We start from the raw sequence: 14,431 nt of genomic DNA on the forward strand, positions 1-14,431 counted from the left end.
TCTTATTTCACACATGGAATATCTTCATAAAGGTAGAGCGAGACTCCGCTCAAAAAAAAAAAAAAAAAAAGATTACCTACATTGACAACTTGTCTAACATAACAAGATGAATAAAAGCCATTTTAATGAACTTCCTCTCTTATCACGACCTCATTAATTATATTCTAGAGGTAAGGTTGATTTTTTTTTAAAGCACATTATTCATTACCAAATAGTCTAAAACTAATACCTATTTACATAGGTTACTGTTAATGAATAGCTACTTGAAAATTATACTTAAAAGTTCAAGTTATAAGATTAACTTCAAAAAACCTACATATATAAACACATATATGATACTCCAATCATGAAAAAGAAAATATAAACTCATACAATTTTACACACATACACACACACACACGATATACATAATACATGTACACAGAAAATCCTGGAAGGCAAGGCATTGTAATAGTCATCTCTGGGTTATACAAATGATTTTTAATTTTCTTTTCTATATTGCTCAATTTCTTTAAAGTGATCTCACAAAATTAGAATATAAATATGAAAAAATAAACTAGAAGAGTATAATTATACACTGAATGAGAATGATATAAAAATCATTACTTTAAAAAAAGTATAGCTGCATGAGATCACAGAAATACACATGTGGCTTTCACAACACTCATCTTTTGAAATAAAATTATTTCCATGATGCTAATACTGTTCCAAACATTTAAAGAACACCTACTTTATGTTAAGAACAAAAACAAAAGAAAACAAAAACCTGTTTCCAGAGCTTGTGGCATGAGTATCCTGGATGTTGATATAATTGTTTCAAACTCTGATAGGAATTTGATTTTTGATAATAGCCCACAATCATTCAGAGCCAGATCTGATAAATATCACAGATAATACAATTTCAATTAGAAACAATAACGAAGTTGCTAACTGTAAAGTCAAAAAGACAAACTGAAGACAAACAACAAAGGTCTTACTATACAAAGACCAACAACCAACTAAAAATGGGCAAAGCCAGGTGCGGTAGCTCACGCCTGTAATCCCAGCACTTTGGAAAGCTGAGGCTGGTGGATCACGAGGTCAGGAGATCGAGACCATCCTGGCTAACAGGGTGAAACCCCATCTCTACTACTAATACAAAACATTAGCTGGGCATGGTGGTGGGCGCCTGTAGTCCCAGCTACTCAGGAGGCTGAGGCAGGAGAATGGCGTGAACCTGGGAGGCGGAGCTTGCAGTGAGCCCAGATCGCGCCACGGCACTCCAGCCTGGGCGACAGAGCAAGACTCTGTCTCAAAAAAAAAAAAAAAAAAAGAACATGAAGAGTCAGATCACACTAAAACAGAAGTACAAATGTCTTTAAATGTATGAAATAATGCTTTATGAACTAATTAAGGACAATAATTAAAACAATGAAATGCCATTTATCCTATGGGTGATGGTGAAAACCTCTGACAATAGACTAATTTATCAAAGGTTTAGGGAAAAGCAGGCACGCTTTTATGTTGATGAGAATGTAAAGTGGTTCAACTTCTTTGAAGAGCAATTGACAACACCTATACAAATTTAAAATGCAGGTATGAGCTGATCCAGTGATTCTAGTTCTAGGGATTTATCTTGCAGACGTGTTTCCATGTAAGTACAAAGACTTACATATGAATATATTCACTGGGGTACTAATTGTAATTTTAAAAACTCTAGAAACTACCAAAATGCCCAACAGTGGGGACTGGTTAAATAAATTATGGTATAGGCACACGATGAAATATTACAGTCACTAAGAAAAGTGAGGTAGACAGATGTATGTATATTGAAATAAAATGACCCATAATATGAATTAAGTGAAGGAGACAAAATATAGAACAACGTGCCTAGTACAAAATCACTGGTTTCAGTTCTCTTAACTCGGACACACATAAGCATAACCAAGCATAAAATATTTCTAGGTGAATACAACAGAAGGTGGTACAGAATTGAATGTAAGTGAGAAACAGACAAATCCACAAGTATAGTTGGAAATTTTAACATGTTTCTCTCAGCAACTGATAGAACTAGAAAATAATAAGTCAGTAAAAACACTGATGGTATGAACACTGTCAACTACTTTGATCTAATTGACAAATATAGAATACCCCACCAAACAACTCTACAATATATTATTTTCAAAATACTTAGACCATATGTTAGGCCATAAAACAGGTCTCAGTAAATTTAAAAGGAACAAAAGAATATAGAATATATCCAGAAACCCCCAATATTTGGAAATTAATAATTCCAAATAATCCATGGATCAAATCCATGGGTAACGTTAGCTTATCACCCCTTTAGAAGTAACTCTTCGAGATTTAAAAAGATATGTACTTAGTGTTAAATTACCTGACATAAACAAACTGTAGAACTAAAACAATATAATTTTATTATTTTAAAATGTTATACTCTTAATACCTTTGTGAATTTTCTATTAACATTCTAGTTTTTACTCATTTTAATGTAAGGTATTCAAATTAGAATGTCACGCAAAAAAATTTACTTAATATTGAATTATGAATTATAATTATGAATTATATTTATATTTATAACATAATAATATAATGTTATATAATATATAACATTATAATTCATATTATAATTATGAATTATGAAATATATATGAATATTGAATTATGAATTATAAAAAATATGAGAATTCCATATTTCACTTTATTATAGGAACGTTAGCTGCCTTCTGAATTCTTCTAATTTCTAGCCCAACAGAAGACAATAGTCAAGTACACAATCACACAGCATTAATTTTAACTTGTTTGATTTAGTATTTCAAACAAGTTGAAGTATTCCCCAGATGCTAGTAGTTCTCACTGGATGTTTTCAAAGGATAAAGTAGTTGATTACTACATAATTTTAGTTCATCAATAAATTAGAAATTTGTTATCCATCAAATATATAAAGTATAACTCAAAAATTAAAATTGTATTCACTACATATATTCTAGTTACAGTACACCATAGCAACAGCATGAAAAATTATTTAATAACTAAAAACATATAAACACTATTTTTGAAGCAACAAATCCCCCAGAAAAAACTTTTGTACCTATGAATTTCATTAGGAAAATTGTTACTGCATTTCTAAAGAGCTATAAAATTTAACAACTAAAAATTTCCATAACCACACTGCAAATTTATTCTTAAAAAAAAGATACATTTTAATTTCTTTTATGGTTTTGGTCATAAGGAAAACTACTATCAAGTTTCTGAAGTGCAATCTGGCATCATTTACCCAGAGACTAAAATATGTACATACTGTATCCAGGCAGTAATTCCCATATTTAATTAACATGACTGGACAAATTCACCAAAAAAGCTAGTAAATATCAGGTTTTCAAAGAATATCTAATAAAAGTAGAGAACTATCACAATACAATGTTAAATTAAAAAAGGAGAAAAGAATGCATGTGACATGATTTCCATTTTGTGTAGATAAAATATGAAAATACATGTAGATGCAAAGAAAAATATAATAAAACAATAATTTTCTGCTTGGTAATTTTCTGAATTTTTCCAAATTTTCTATAATAGACATGAATTCATCTTACTATCAAAAATAATTAGAATATGTAGTTTTATTATACTTACATTAGCCACCTTTTCAACATAAGTCTTCATTGTTTTCACAATCACTTTCCTGTCCTTAAAAAGGAAAGATTGTCTCACTGAATTTTCAGTTATGTATTAAGGGTATTTTGTAGTTAAACATTTTAATATAATATTTATTAAGTTTTCATTTGAGTGGCATATGTTTTCATTAGTAAAAATAATAGTTATACAGCCAGAACAAAAAAACTGTAATATACCAAAGAAGTTGGCTTAGAGCTATTACAAGCTTAGATGTGTATGTGATAGGGTTAGGGTTAGGGTTAGGGTTAGGGTTAGGGTTTGCAAGCCACCTTTCACAGTGAGACCAGACAGATCCTTCTTCCAAGGTCTAAACTGTCCTCAAATGCAGAGTCTAGCAAACAGTTAGTACTCATCTGCATTTGTTGAATAAAATTAAATTTGCATTAAAAAAAGTAGATATAGTACAACTATCTTTTAAAGGCAGAATTATGCTGACCAAGGAAATAATGATAATTTCTGTTAAACTTCTGTGATTAATAAGGATCTTTACCTTTTCCCTCAAGTACATAACACCTATGGGAGCAAATGTGTGTGGCCAGCTGTTTGTTATCTCTTCCCATTTTCCCCTGCCACAGTATGATCATTAAAAGAGGAGGTACCAAAACCTCTATAAACTAAAGCTTAAATACATATTATGTTTACTTGCTTGATAGATCTCTTCCCATCCTTTAATGAAACTTCAAGGTTTCTACTAAAGCAGAGGAAAGAAGAAACACTAGGCCTAAAGAAGATGGCTCATTCCCATCAGGCTCTAAGGCACAACTTTTGGAAGATAATGCACAACAGGGCAAAGACCAAAGGGGGTTAAAAGTCTAAGGACAGCTAAGTCAAGCCTGCAGATAAAGCATGGCCCTGACTTGTACAGTTTAAATGCCCAAGTGCTGTCACACTTACCTTGGGCGTGCCATGCCACAGGCAGTGCATGGCCACTCTGGCGCCATCGTGTGTGTGTGCCAGGTAGACCACCGCTTCGCGGATGGCTTCAATCATTTCCTAGGGAACAAATGCTGTCAGGAACAGGGCTCTGCTTTATTTTCTTCTTTCTACTGTTTTATCTGTCTGTCTACAGGGGGCAGTTATGCAGAGAGAAGGAAAGGAAGAGAGTGCCAGGTAGCAAACAATTTCATTTTGTAGACAATCAAACAGAAACACGAGCTCTTTCTAGAAATGTTCTTTTCCATCAAGAGCAGTAAATACTGCTGGCAGACAATATCTATTAAAAACAATACCTGACTTTTACCAATGTCTGTTAAAAAAAAGGTCAAGCTATATGTGTAATATAATATATTCTAAATAATTTTCCAAGAAAAAGAAGCCTAGGAGGTGGTGGTGATAAGAAGGGAGCTTTTAACAGAATAGCGAGACAAAGAAAATGCTCTTCCCCAAAAGAGACCTGTATGCAATAAACAGAATCAAAACACTCATTTTGACTGAAAAGCTTCCCTTTTCAGTTCATAACTGGATTATCTCCAAAAATCACATTCTTTACCATAAACACGCTTACATAACATTTCCTCATGAAAAATTTCTATACTAACATTTAGACTAAGACCTCACCTATAAAATGACCCTTTAGTAAAAAACATTTAATTTCTCACTAGGTAGCTTAGCTTAATTTAACCTTTAGCCTTCATTTTCCATGTATATAATTTCTTATTTACATTTTCTTTTTTTTTTGGAGACGGAGTCTTGCTCTGTCACCCAGGCTGGAGTGCAGTGGTGCCATCTTGGCTTACTGCAACCTCCACCTCCCAGGTTCAAGCAATTCTCCTGCCTCAGCCTCCCGAGTAGCTGGGGCTACAGGTGCCCGCCACCACCCCCGGCTAATTTTTGTATTTTAGTAGAGACTGGGTTTCACCATATTGGCCAGGCTGGTCTCGAACTACTGACCTTGTGATCTGCCCGCCTCGGGTTCCCAAAGTGCTGGGATTACAGGTGTGAGCCACCGTGCCTGGCCCTATATTTTCAAAGTCTAAGGCATGTAGGATGTAAATGAGTTCTGGCAACTAACAAGTGCAGAGCTCCATTTTAGTCTATTCCCAATTTAAAAATGTACATTAAATAAATACAAAGCCTCATGCCACGAAAGAGAGGGTAGGTGCCTAATTTCATCAATAAGGAACAAACAATTTCAGCCTCAAGTATCTAACAATCCCTTCCCAAGATGACTCTCAAGAGCAGTTTCAACTAACATATCTGAACTTAGGAATCTCTTCAGAGCTATCCAGATGGAAAGCCATGCATATATTCCAATTATGCTTCCATTTTCCCCGAAGGTTTTTTTTTTTTTAAGTCTCTTTTGAAAATGCCCCCAATACCAGAAAAGACAATTTGTCTCATTACTTTACACGCATGCTAAGTTCCAAATGATTTTTTGCTGTTACTGAAACATTCAACACTAAAAAGATACTTTCTACCACTGAATATATTCAAATAATCATTGTGTCATTTCTGAGCATATAGTCCTGCCTCAGAACCGTGGGATACTGTATTTTTCAGGAAGTAAGAAAAATCTCCAAAACAGAAGGTGCTGCTATGGTCATCAAACCATAAGCTTACGTGGGTGGCTACCATCAGGAAATTATTTTGCATGCCAATTTTAAGAGGGTCAAAACTCCAATGAATGTATAGTCTGGCGTTATTTGTTAAGTCAGTCTCATTATTTTCATTATCCCTTGTGATTGGAAAATGAGGACAAATGGACAATGAGCTCACTGTATGATGAGGCAAGCAAAGTTCAGGGAACTAAATGATGAATTCTCATTTGTATTCCCATGACTGACTTGAAGGGCAGTGCAATTTACCTTCACTCTGTTCTTCTATGATATAAAGTCCAGGTTTTCATCGTCCACTTAGTTTTACAAACATATCCTCCTCTAACCTTTTAATGCCAAGCTAATTTTTTTTTTGTATTAGCACAGTTGAATTTAAAACTATCCGAATGCTTGAATATTCCTCCACGAGTTAGTTAATTTTCAGATTAGGTTAGCCAGCGGATACTCTCTGGATTATAATTAAGATATAAAAATTTAATATGATTAGTAAAACTAGGGTCAATTCTATTGTTTACTGGAATAAAACCTAAATGGAATTAGCAAACGTGTTCAAAGGGAGTTGAGTAAATTATCTTCCCTAAATAAGGAAGCAACTCTAAAATTTCCACAAGACAACGTACATCAAAGCAGTTTTTCAAATTTCTACACCGCTCCTCCTCCATGTTTTAGTTTAAAAACAAAAACCAAGAACTTACTGATCTGAGTTTGGGGGGTGCATAGGTAAAAAAGTCCAAGAATACTTTATGCACCAATGAGTGCTTAATCACAGCTTCCCTGAAAACAGAAAAAAAAAGCAAAAAGACACAACAGATCTGGCACTACAGTCATACAAAGACAGGTAATCTCAAAGTCCTAAAGTAATCTAAACAAGTGAAATGGTTTTACTGAATACAATTTGTCATAAAATAGACTGTATTTTTCAGAAATACTAAAACTTAAACAAAAATTTAGATGGTAAAATTGATTTAGTGCCATCTACAACCAAGACCAGAGTATAAACTTCTAGTATTTAATCGGCAAACATAAAATCAACATTTGAAATATGCTCTGCTCTATTAAATAAGGACATCTACATTTTTTCCCCCAGCACTGGACATAATGATTAGAAATCCACATGTGGATGTATTTTTTTAATAGTTGTTTTATTTCTGTTAACACCCTTCACAATCCATCTGTTTCACAAAATAATTTTAGCAGAATTAAAACTTGAATGAACCAAACATTGTCAGCAATTGCAACAACACCTACTTAATCCAAACCCCCTAGTGTGACACTTGGTGGATCCAGGTGTACAGTGGAGGCCGATGGTCAGGCATAAAAGACCTAAAGTTCACAGGTGATACCCAAGTAGACAGCAAAAACTAACACTGCCTTTATGGGCAAAGCACTGTTCTGAGTGTTTTGGAACAACCAACCCATTTAATCTTCACAAAATTCCTATGAAGTCTGTACTATTATTATCCCAATTTTACAAATATGGTAATTGAGGCACAGGGAGGTTAAGTTGCCAAAGATTGCAGTTAGTAATAGTTGGGGGAGTGGGGAACCAGGAGTCGTACCCAGGCAGTCGGGTCCCAAAAGCTATGCTCAGCCACTCCACTACTGGACAGATGCCATGAAGGGCACATGCACAGGCTTCCAAGTCTTACAATCCATTTTTTAATTTTTTTTTATTTTTTTAAAGCAAGGTCTCACTCTGTTGCCTAGGCTGGAATGCAGTGGCACAACCATGGCTCACTGCAGCCATGACCTCCTGGGCTCCAGTGAGCCTCCTGCCTCTCAGCCTCCCAAGTAGCCAAGACTATACACACATGCCATAAAGCCTGGCTAATTTTCTTATTTTTTCGTAGAGATGGGGTCTTGCTATTGCCCCAGATGGTCTTGAACTCCTGGCCTCAAGTGATTCTCCCAGCTTGGTTCCCCAAAGTGCTAGAATTATAGGCGTGAGCCACTGTACCTTGCCTACAACCAAATTTGAGTAACAGATTATATTTGTGAAACTGTTTAGTATACATGGCTTCCATGTAACATTTTATTTGGGGAAAGAATGTTTCATTGCTTAAAAAAGCTCATAAATCACGAATGCATGTTAGTTATCATTTTATAGGGTACAATATCAGAAAAAGAAATCTCCTTTTGCACCAAGAATGGTTTCAAACCAACACTTTTGCACTCTTATTTAGAATAGATTAATACTTGTAAGCAGGAAATAGCTACCTCTTCTGGGCAACAGTTATGGAAAACCTTCCTCCTTTGAATGTCATTTCTTAAGAACAAAACAAAAACAACTTTCTTACTTTTGGGCCATTGGAGTTAGAATCTGTTTCATTTCATCCATAATAAGTTCTAATTTTTCTGGCTGTACCTCTAACACTTTGTCCAGAGTTCGGTGATCTGCTGACTGCAACAAAACAAAACAATCAAACCCCTCTAAATTTAATCAATTTTTTCACTTCAGGAAAAAGAAAAGTAATTAGTCATTTTAAAATAAGTTTTAACAAATTTAAGATTTCCCATATTTACATAATGAAAGCTCTGCTGTATATCCTTGTGGAGTAACCTGATTAGCTGATTCTCAGTCTGTGTATCTATCAGTGCATTTAAAGAGCCAGGCCAACCAAGTTAACCAGCTAACAGTTACTTGCCAAGCACCTAGCTCTTGCCCAATTATGAGATCAAGTAGTCACTTCACAAATTCTTGCCACCATATGTTTTATAATTAGTTGGCTATTCCTATTAAATATAACGAACTGTTAACAAAATTAGTACAGCAACAAATTCAACCCAAGAATTGAACCTGGCTAATGGAGGCAACCCGGGAATCAATCCATATCCCTTCAGACACATGTGTGCATTTATGTTCCAAGGTTTGAAATAGATTCTTTAACCAGCTAGTCCCACTGCTAACTATTCTCAGATTCAATCCCTGTACTCTATCCAAGGTTAGGTCTCTCTGTTCCCCTTCATCTCCAGACACAATCTGAAGAAGGGCAATGCATGCACATGAAAAAACACAGGAGAAGCTAGCAACAGAGAGCCCAATACACTTCAGCCAGAGCTGGTTGGGGGTGGTCACACAACTTTGCTAACTATTGGGAGTCTTGTCCTTCAGTATGACTGTAAAAATAGAAGTATTGAAGTGCTACACACAGAGCACTCAGGAGAGGAACAAAGTTTGAATTGAAGGGGATTTAAAGCCAATGCTCTGGAGAAAGAGAAACTTGCTCACTATACCAGAAACAAAATAAAGCATGAGGGAAAATCAAGGGCATAAGATGGTCTCTTAAAGAACCAGCCACAGTAAAAATACATTCAAAAGATATATAGGGCACCGGAAGTTAAGGAAGAGCATATCGAAAAGTAAAAATACTAGAAAAAGACTTCTGGAGATGTCACCTTGTAAAGCTGAAATGTGTTCCCATAGAGCTCTTCCGTCAGCATGTTCCTCTGCTCCAAAATGGCTTTGTCATTGTATGCGTACTCCACGATGGCTGATGCTTCCGCATGCCGCAGCATCTTCCTCACGTGGCCTTTAAAACTTCTGATTATCTCTGCAATCTGTGGTTTACTTCTAAACGCAACACAATCATGGAAAAATAAATGATAGAAGGAGAAAGCTGGGTGACAATAAAACACAACTTACTTCTCCCAAGACCAACTCATCAATCTGTGTCACTCTGAGGAGTAAATGAGCTAGCATGCATTGAGAAGCTGTGGCCAGCACATAGTAAATGCTCAATAAATGTCATTTCCTATTAAACTGTTCTGCTCGAAAAAAACAGTAGGGCAGGAAAAAAGATAAAAGATTCAAGGAAATAGAAAATCATATTCTAAGATTCCTTTTGAAGATGGGACTTAATCACAAGTATTTTAACTATATCCTAAAAGAATTAAACAGCTGGAAACTACAGCTAGGAATACATTTTTGAAAATTTTGTCAACTGCATATATTACACTTTTTGTTGTTGATTATCATATTCTAGCACATTAATACACTCAAAAAGATTGGTCAAGACAAGTACTAATTCCACTTAATTTAGGAAATTCTCCCATGTTGACATTTTCTAACCCACTGACCCTCTATCAGTTTACTCACCTGTCCCTCCCCAGTCTCCACCCTCTTAATACTGGTGGCTAATTATAAGTTAATTATTCTATTTCTCTTCTTCCAGAGGTTCAAGATAAACATTCACAAATCATCCATCATGTAAAATTATTTTTACTATGCTACAATACCAGTCTACTTCAAAAGTGCTTATCTGTTGCTCACTCTGTCTTTAAAACTTTTGAATGCCAACAAATCAGAAGGTGAGGGTATACCTCCATCAAAGTCATAAATTTCAAGGAGATTTGCAGGACATTTCTCATGTATCTTTTTAGGAATGAAGGCAGTACCATAATTTTACATTAATTTCGATAATTGTATTTAAGATGATACTCTCTAAAAACAACACAAGCATCTGCTGAGAGCCATTACTATTACTTATAAAGACCACAGACTTCCTATCTCGCATCTGAGCACAGTTGGAAACCATGTCTTCAAAAGACAAAGAAAAAATGTATTTTATACATAAAACAACTTACCCATACATGAGAAATTTCTTAACAATATTTCTCGAATATTTGGCTTTACTTAACTCAACCAAATCATCTGAAAAACAAAAATACATTACAGTGACTTCAGATCTCATTTCAGTTCTCTGGAAACAAAGGGAGGAAATTTGTCCCAGGCAAGGAAAAAATAAAAACAAAAAAGGATCTGGAGAAGACAAACCTAAACAAAAATTGTTTTCTAGGACAGTCTTGGGTATTTTAAGAGAAAACAAGTGACTTATTGCAAATGATAACATAATCTTTAGTATGTAATAAATACCTCGCAATTCTTCAAAAGCCTGTTTTCTCTGTTCTTCATTACCATACTGAATGTAACACTGGATCACACGAGTTGAATCGTGTGCAAATGCAATCTGCAGGAAAAAGTTTGAGTTAGACTAATTCTCTTTTGAGACTTATGTTTCTCACTAATTTATTGTGACCTCTTCTGGAATTTCTTGTTAGAAAAAAAGGTAGTCTTCATGAATAAAATCAAACCTAGATTACTGAGAACTACTTGTTTTAATTATACAAAACATCATTCTGTTGTTTTGAGGCCTACCATATTTGATAGGTACAATAATGACATTGAGGCAAGGATAAATTTAACCATTTTGCAAGACTCCTCTCATTGCAATTAAAACCAAAGCAAACCAAACCATCTGATGATTATACAGACTATACTTCTCATTTCTTTGATAAGTTACCGTCCCTAAAAGGGAAATATTTCTGTTTAAAAGGTCTGTTACTGTATGATTTTTATATAAGTGATCTAAGAATGTTTGGCTTTGGCAACCAGAAGTATACCTGTAAGATCAATCTAAAAGTCTTCCTAAAGAAATAAATACAACTATGTCCATAAACACTGTCAATTATATAATAAGTTAATCATCCATTTGTCACATTTTCATTATAATTCCTGCACATATATCCAGTTATATTTCTAGAAGAGTTGTTGTGTTTTGAATCTGATTCTCTAACCCATTCCTCCTCATGACTGTTGGAAGGACCCACTGACCAATTTTCTAGAGCGCCCTCCACGAATCATCCATCATGCAAAATTATTTTCACTACGCCACAGTACCAGTCTACTTCAAAAGTGCTTATTTGTTGCTCACTCTAAAGTTTCTGAATTCCAACAAATCAGGTGAGTGTATACTTCCATCAAAGTCATAAATTTCAAGATTTGTAAGACATCTCTTAAGTATCTCTTAAAAAAATAAGGCTGTTTTTGTGCATATATTGAGCACCTATTATATAATCAACATAAATGCCTTAAACATAGTGTTCTTATTTATAACTCAAAGCAACAATAAGAATGAGCTGTTACTATTCCCACTTTACAGATGAGGGAAGTAAGGTTATGAGAAGGAACTCGCTATCTCTATTACCCCGAGGAAGAATCTTACTTCCCTGAGTCCCAGATACATCAAATATACAACACGGATGATGACATACAGTAAACGACACAATGCATGTGCTGGTTAACACAATTCCTAGCCTATAGTAAATAATCAATAAAGAAGTTATTGTTATTGTTTAAAGGCACACATATTTTAAGCAGCCCAGCCAGGATTTGAATACCAAACTCACTTCTAACACCATGGTCATACAGCTGTGACCTCAGGGTAGTTGAGAAAGAATCCTGAGTGAAATATTTATAAATTGTCGGAGCTGAGGGGGCAGTCCTATCGTAAAAAGATCCTGCTGAATTTATAAGAAAGCGGCAGCTGATGACTTGCTACTTTCCTTCAAACTGTAATATAGCATCTGGTTAGACCTATGCATCTGACTTGACAAAGGCTGCCCCTCCAGGTGCCGTAAAACTATGAGAATCTGTTGTCTTCCAAGCCATTATGTATTAATCCAAATACACAAGAGTCACAGGAAATTTATTACAAAACAGGATTAAGCAGCAACAATGAAAACTACTTTAGAATTCTGAAATGATTATATTTTAGTTAAAGATCTTCGCATGATGTTTACAAAAGCATGGAGGAAAAGAATGAAGTAATATGTTCACATCACAAATATAAAGAAGTTGGCAATTGAGAACATACTAAATTATATGGAGTTTAGAACAACACATTTATAAAATACTACTGAACTAATAAACTTCTCAAGATAACTTTAAGGAAACACTGGCTTATTTTAAGAATTATTAAAAAATGACTGAAAAGACTGATAATCTTTTCAAAACTCCCTAGCAGTAAGGTCCCTCACTTTTAAATTTTTATGTAGTTCAGTGTTATGGAAGATATTTAAAACTTTTGGCCAAATACACCGGAAACAATGATAAGATCATCTGTCATGAATGGTCAGCTACTCCTGAGAGTGAGGCAACTTCAACTGTTAAAAATTGCAACAATGAGTATATGCTACTTACAGTTTTAATTTTCCCTTGAATCAACTTCTGCAAATCACTCATTAACTTTACTCTTTTTTCTTTGTCACAGTCTTTTCTACAAATGAGGAGAGGAAGGAAACACAGTTGAAATAAAGAAGTTATTTTAAACACACAAAATTAAAAACTGTACCAGTATATGTTCTCCAAGTTCAGCATGATTTTCTTTTCTAAGGCAGCAAACCTCTGCCATTAAAATTACTATTCCAGAGCAGCCAGACAAAAGTAATTTTCTCAAAGGCAGAAACTCATCTCAAAAGGTATAATTTTAGGTATCAATCCAAATCTTAACAGCCAGAACTTCAGAAGTAAAAAAAATAATAAAACAAATCTAAGATAACAAATACTGAAGTATCTCAAAATCTAGCTGATAAGAAATTGTCCTTCATTTTCTCAGAAATCTCTCAGGAAGAATGTCAAATTTATTTCAACCTCATACATTTTCATAAGCATATCCGATGCCATCATAATGATTCTACACACTTCTGTGACGGGCAGACTTCCAAGTACTGATGTCTCTAATGGGGTGTCATGAGGACCCCCTCAATAACCCAAGTGCTATGTCATTTATTTTAGGACATCTCACTATTTACAAGGTACACTGACTTCTCCACTGTTGCAAAGGGACTAACAAAGGCATCTTTAGGTAGAATTACCTTCTTAAAATCTCCCACATCTGCTTTGCCCGAACAACAATGTCATAGTTGGTTTTATCACTGAGTTGTCTGCTTTGCTTCAGTTCTTTCTTCTTCTTTTTGAAGTCATCCCATTTGGGCTTCTTGGCTGCTGATTCTAGTTATTATAGAAATTATTTTCAATTACATTTAACATTCTAAGTGTCATACACCAATACAAATTAGGTAAAAAGGGCAATCACTAATCAGGATCAATGCTCATTCTGGAAGCTAAAAAGGGGAACATACCATCCCCCATATATACTTCACTTTGCTTTCTGAGCAGTTTGTACATTTTACATTTGGTTAAATTTAAATCTTCATTAATTCTTCTAACAGGATACCTATTAAGAGAAAAGGACACTAAAAGAATTACAAAAGTAACTAGAATATTTTAAATATCTTTTTCAATTGTGAAATAAAATTCTACTTTTTAAGATTAAGATCATTGGACTTTAGGTATAATTAACTTCCAATGAAAACAAAAATTAGTCCAAATGAAAACAAGAAAAACAACTTCGAAAATTCACTGT

The 14,431-nt window shown here is 34.6% G+C and overlaps 1 protein-coding gene across 1 annotated transcript in view, besides 1 other annotated feature; it reads right to left on the bottom strand.

Annotated features, from left to right (window-relative positions):
- PUM3 (pumilio RNA binding family member 3) overlaps positions 1-14,431 on the bottom strand; it is a 39,944-nt gene that overhangs the window by 15,999 nt on the left and 9,514 nt on the right. The window contains exons 4-12 of the mRNA NM_014878.5: positions 13,881-14,016; positions 13,207-13,282; positions 11,101-11,194; positions 10,812-10,878; positions 9,624-9,798; positions 8,525-8,628; positions 6,923-7,001; positions 4,567-4,665; positions 3,631-3,684 (exon numbers count right to left, since the gene is read on the bottom strand). Coding sequence (NP_055693.4) covers positions 3,631-3,684; positions 4,567-4,665; positions 6,923-7,001; positions 8,525-8,628; positions 9,624-9,798; positions 10,812-10,878; positions 11,101-11,194; positions 13,207-13,282; positions 13,881-14,016 — 884 coding nt within the window. The remainder of the gene's footprint in view (positions 1-3,630; positions 3,685-4,566; positions 4,666-6,922; positions 7,002-8,524; positions 8,629-9,623; positions 9,799-10,811; positions 10,879-11,100; positions 11,195-13,206; positions 13,283-13,880; positions 14,017-14,431) is intronic.
- Positions 4,479-4,773: a silencer, noted in NCBI's record as "tiled region #9529; HepG2 Repressive non-DNase unmatched - State 17:Gen3'". NCBI's record gives its function as "represses a minimal TATA promoter and a strong SV40 promoter by Sharpr-MPRA in HepG2 cells {active_cell/tissue: HepG2}" and the evidence as "EXISTENCE:reporter gene assay evidence [ECO:0000049][PMID:27701403]".

This window comes from Homo sapiens, chromosome 9 (assembly GCF_000001405.40).
Source record: "Homo sapiens chromosome 9, GRCh38.p14 Primary Assembly".
In the NCBI taxonomy this organism is placed as follows: domain Eukaryota; kingdom Metazoa; phylum Chordata; class Mammalia; order Primates; family Hominidae; genus Homo; species Homo sapiens.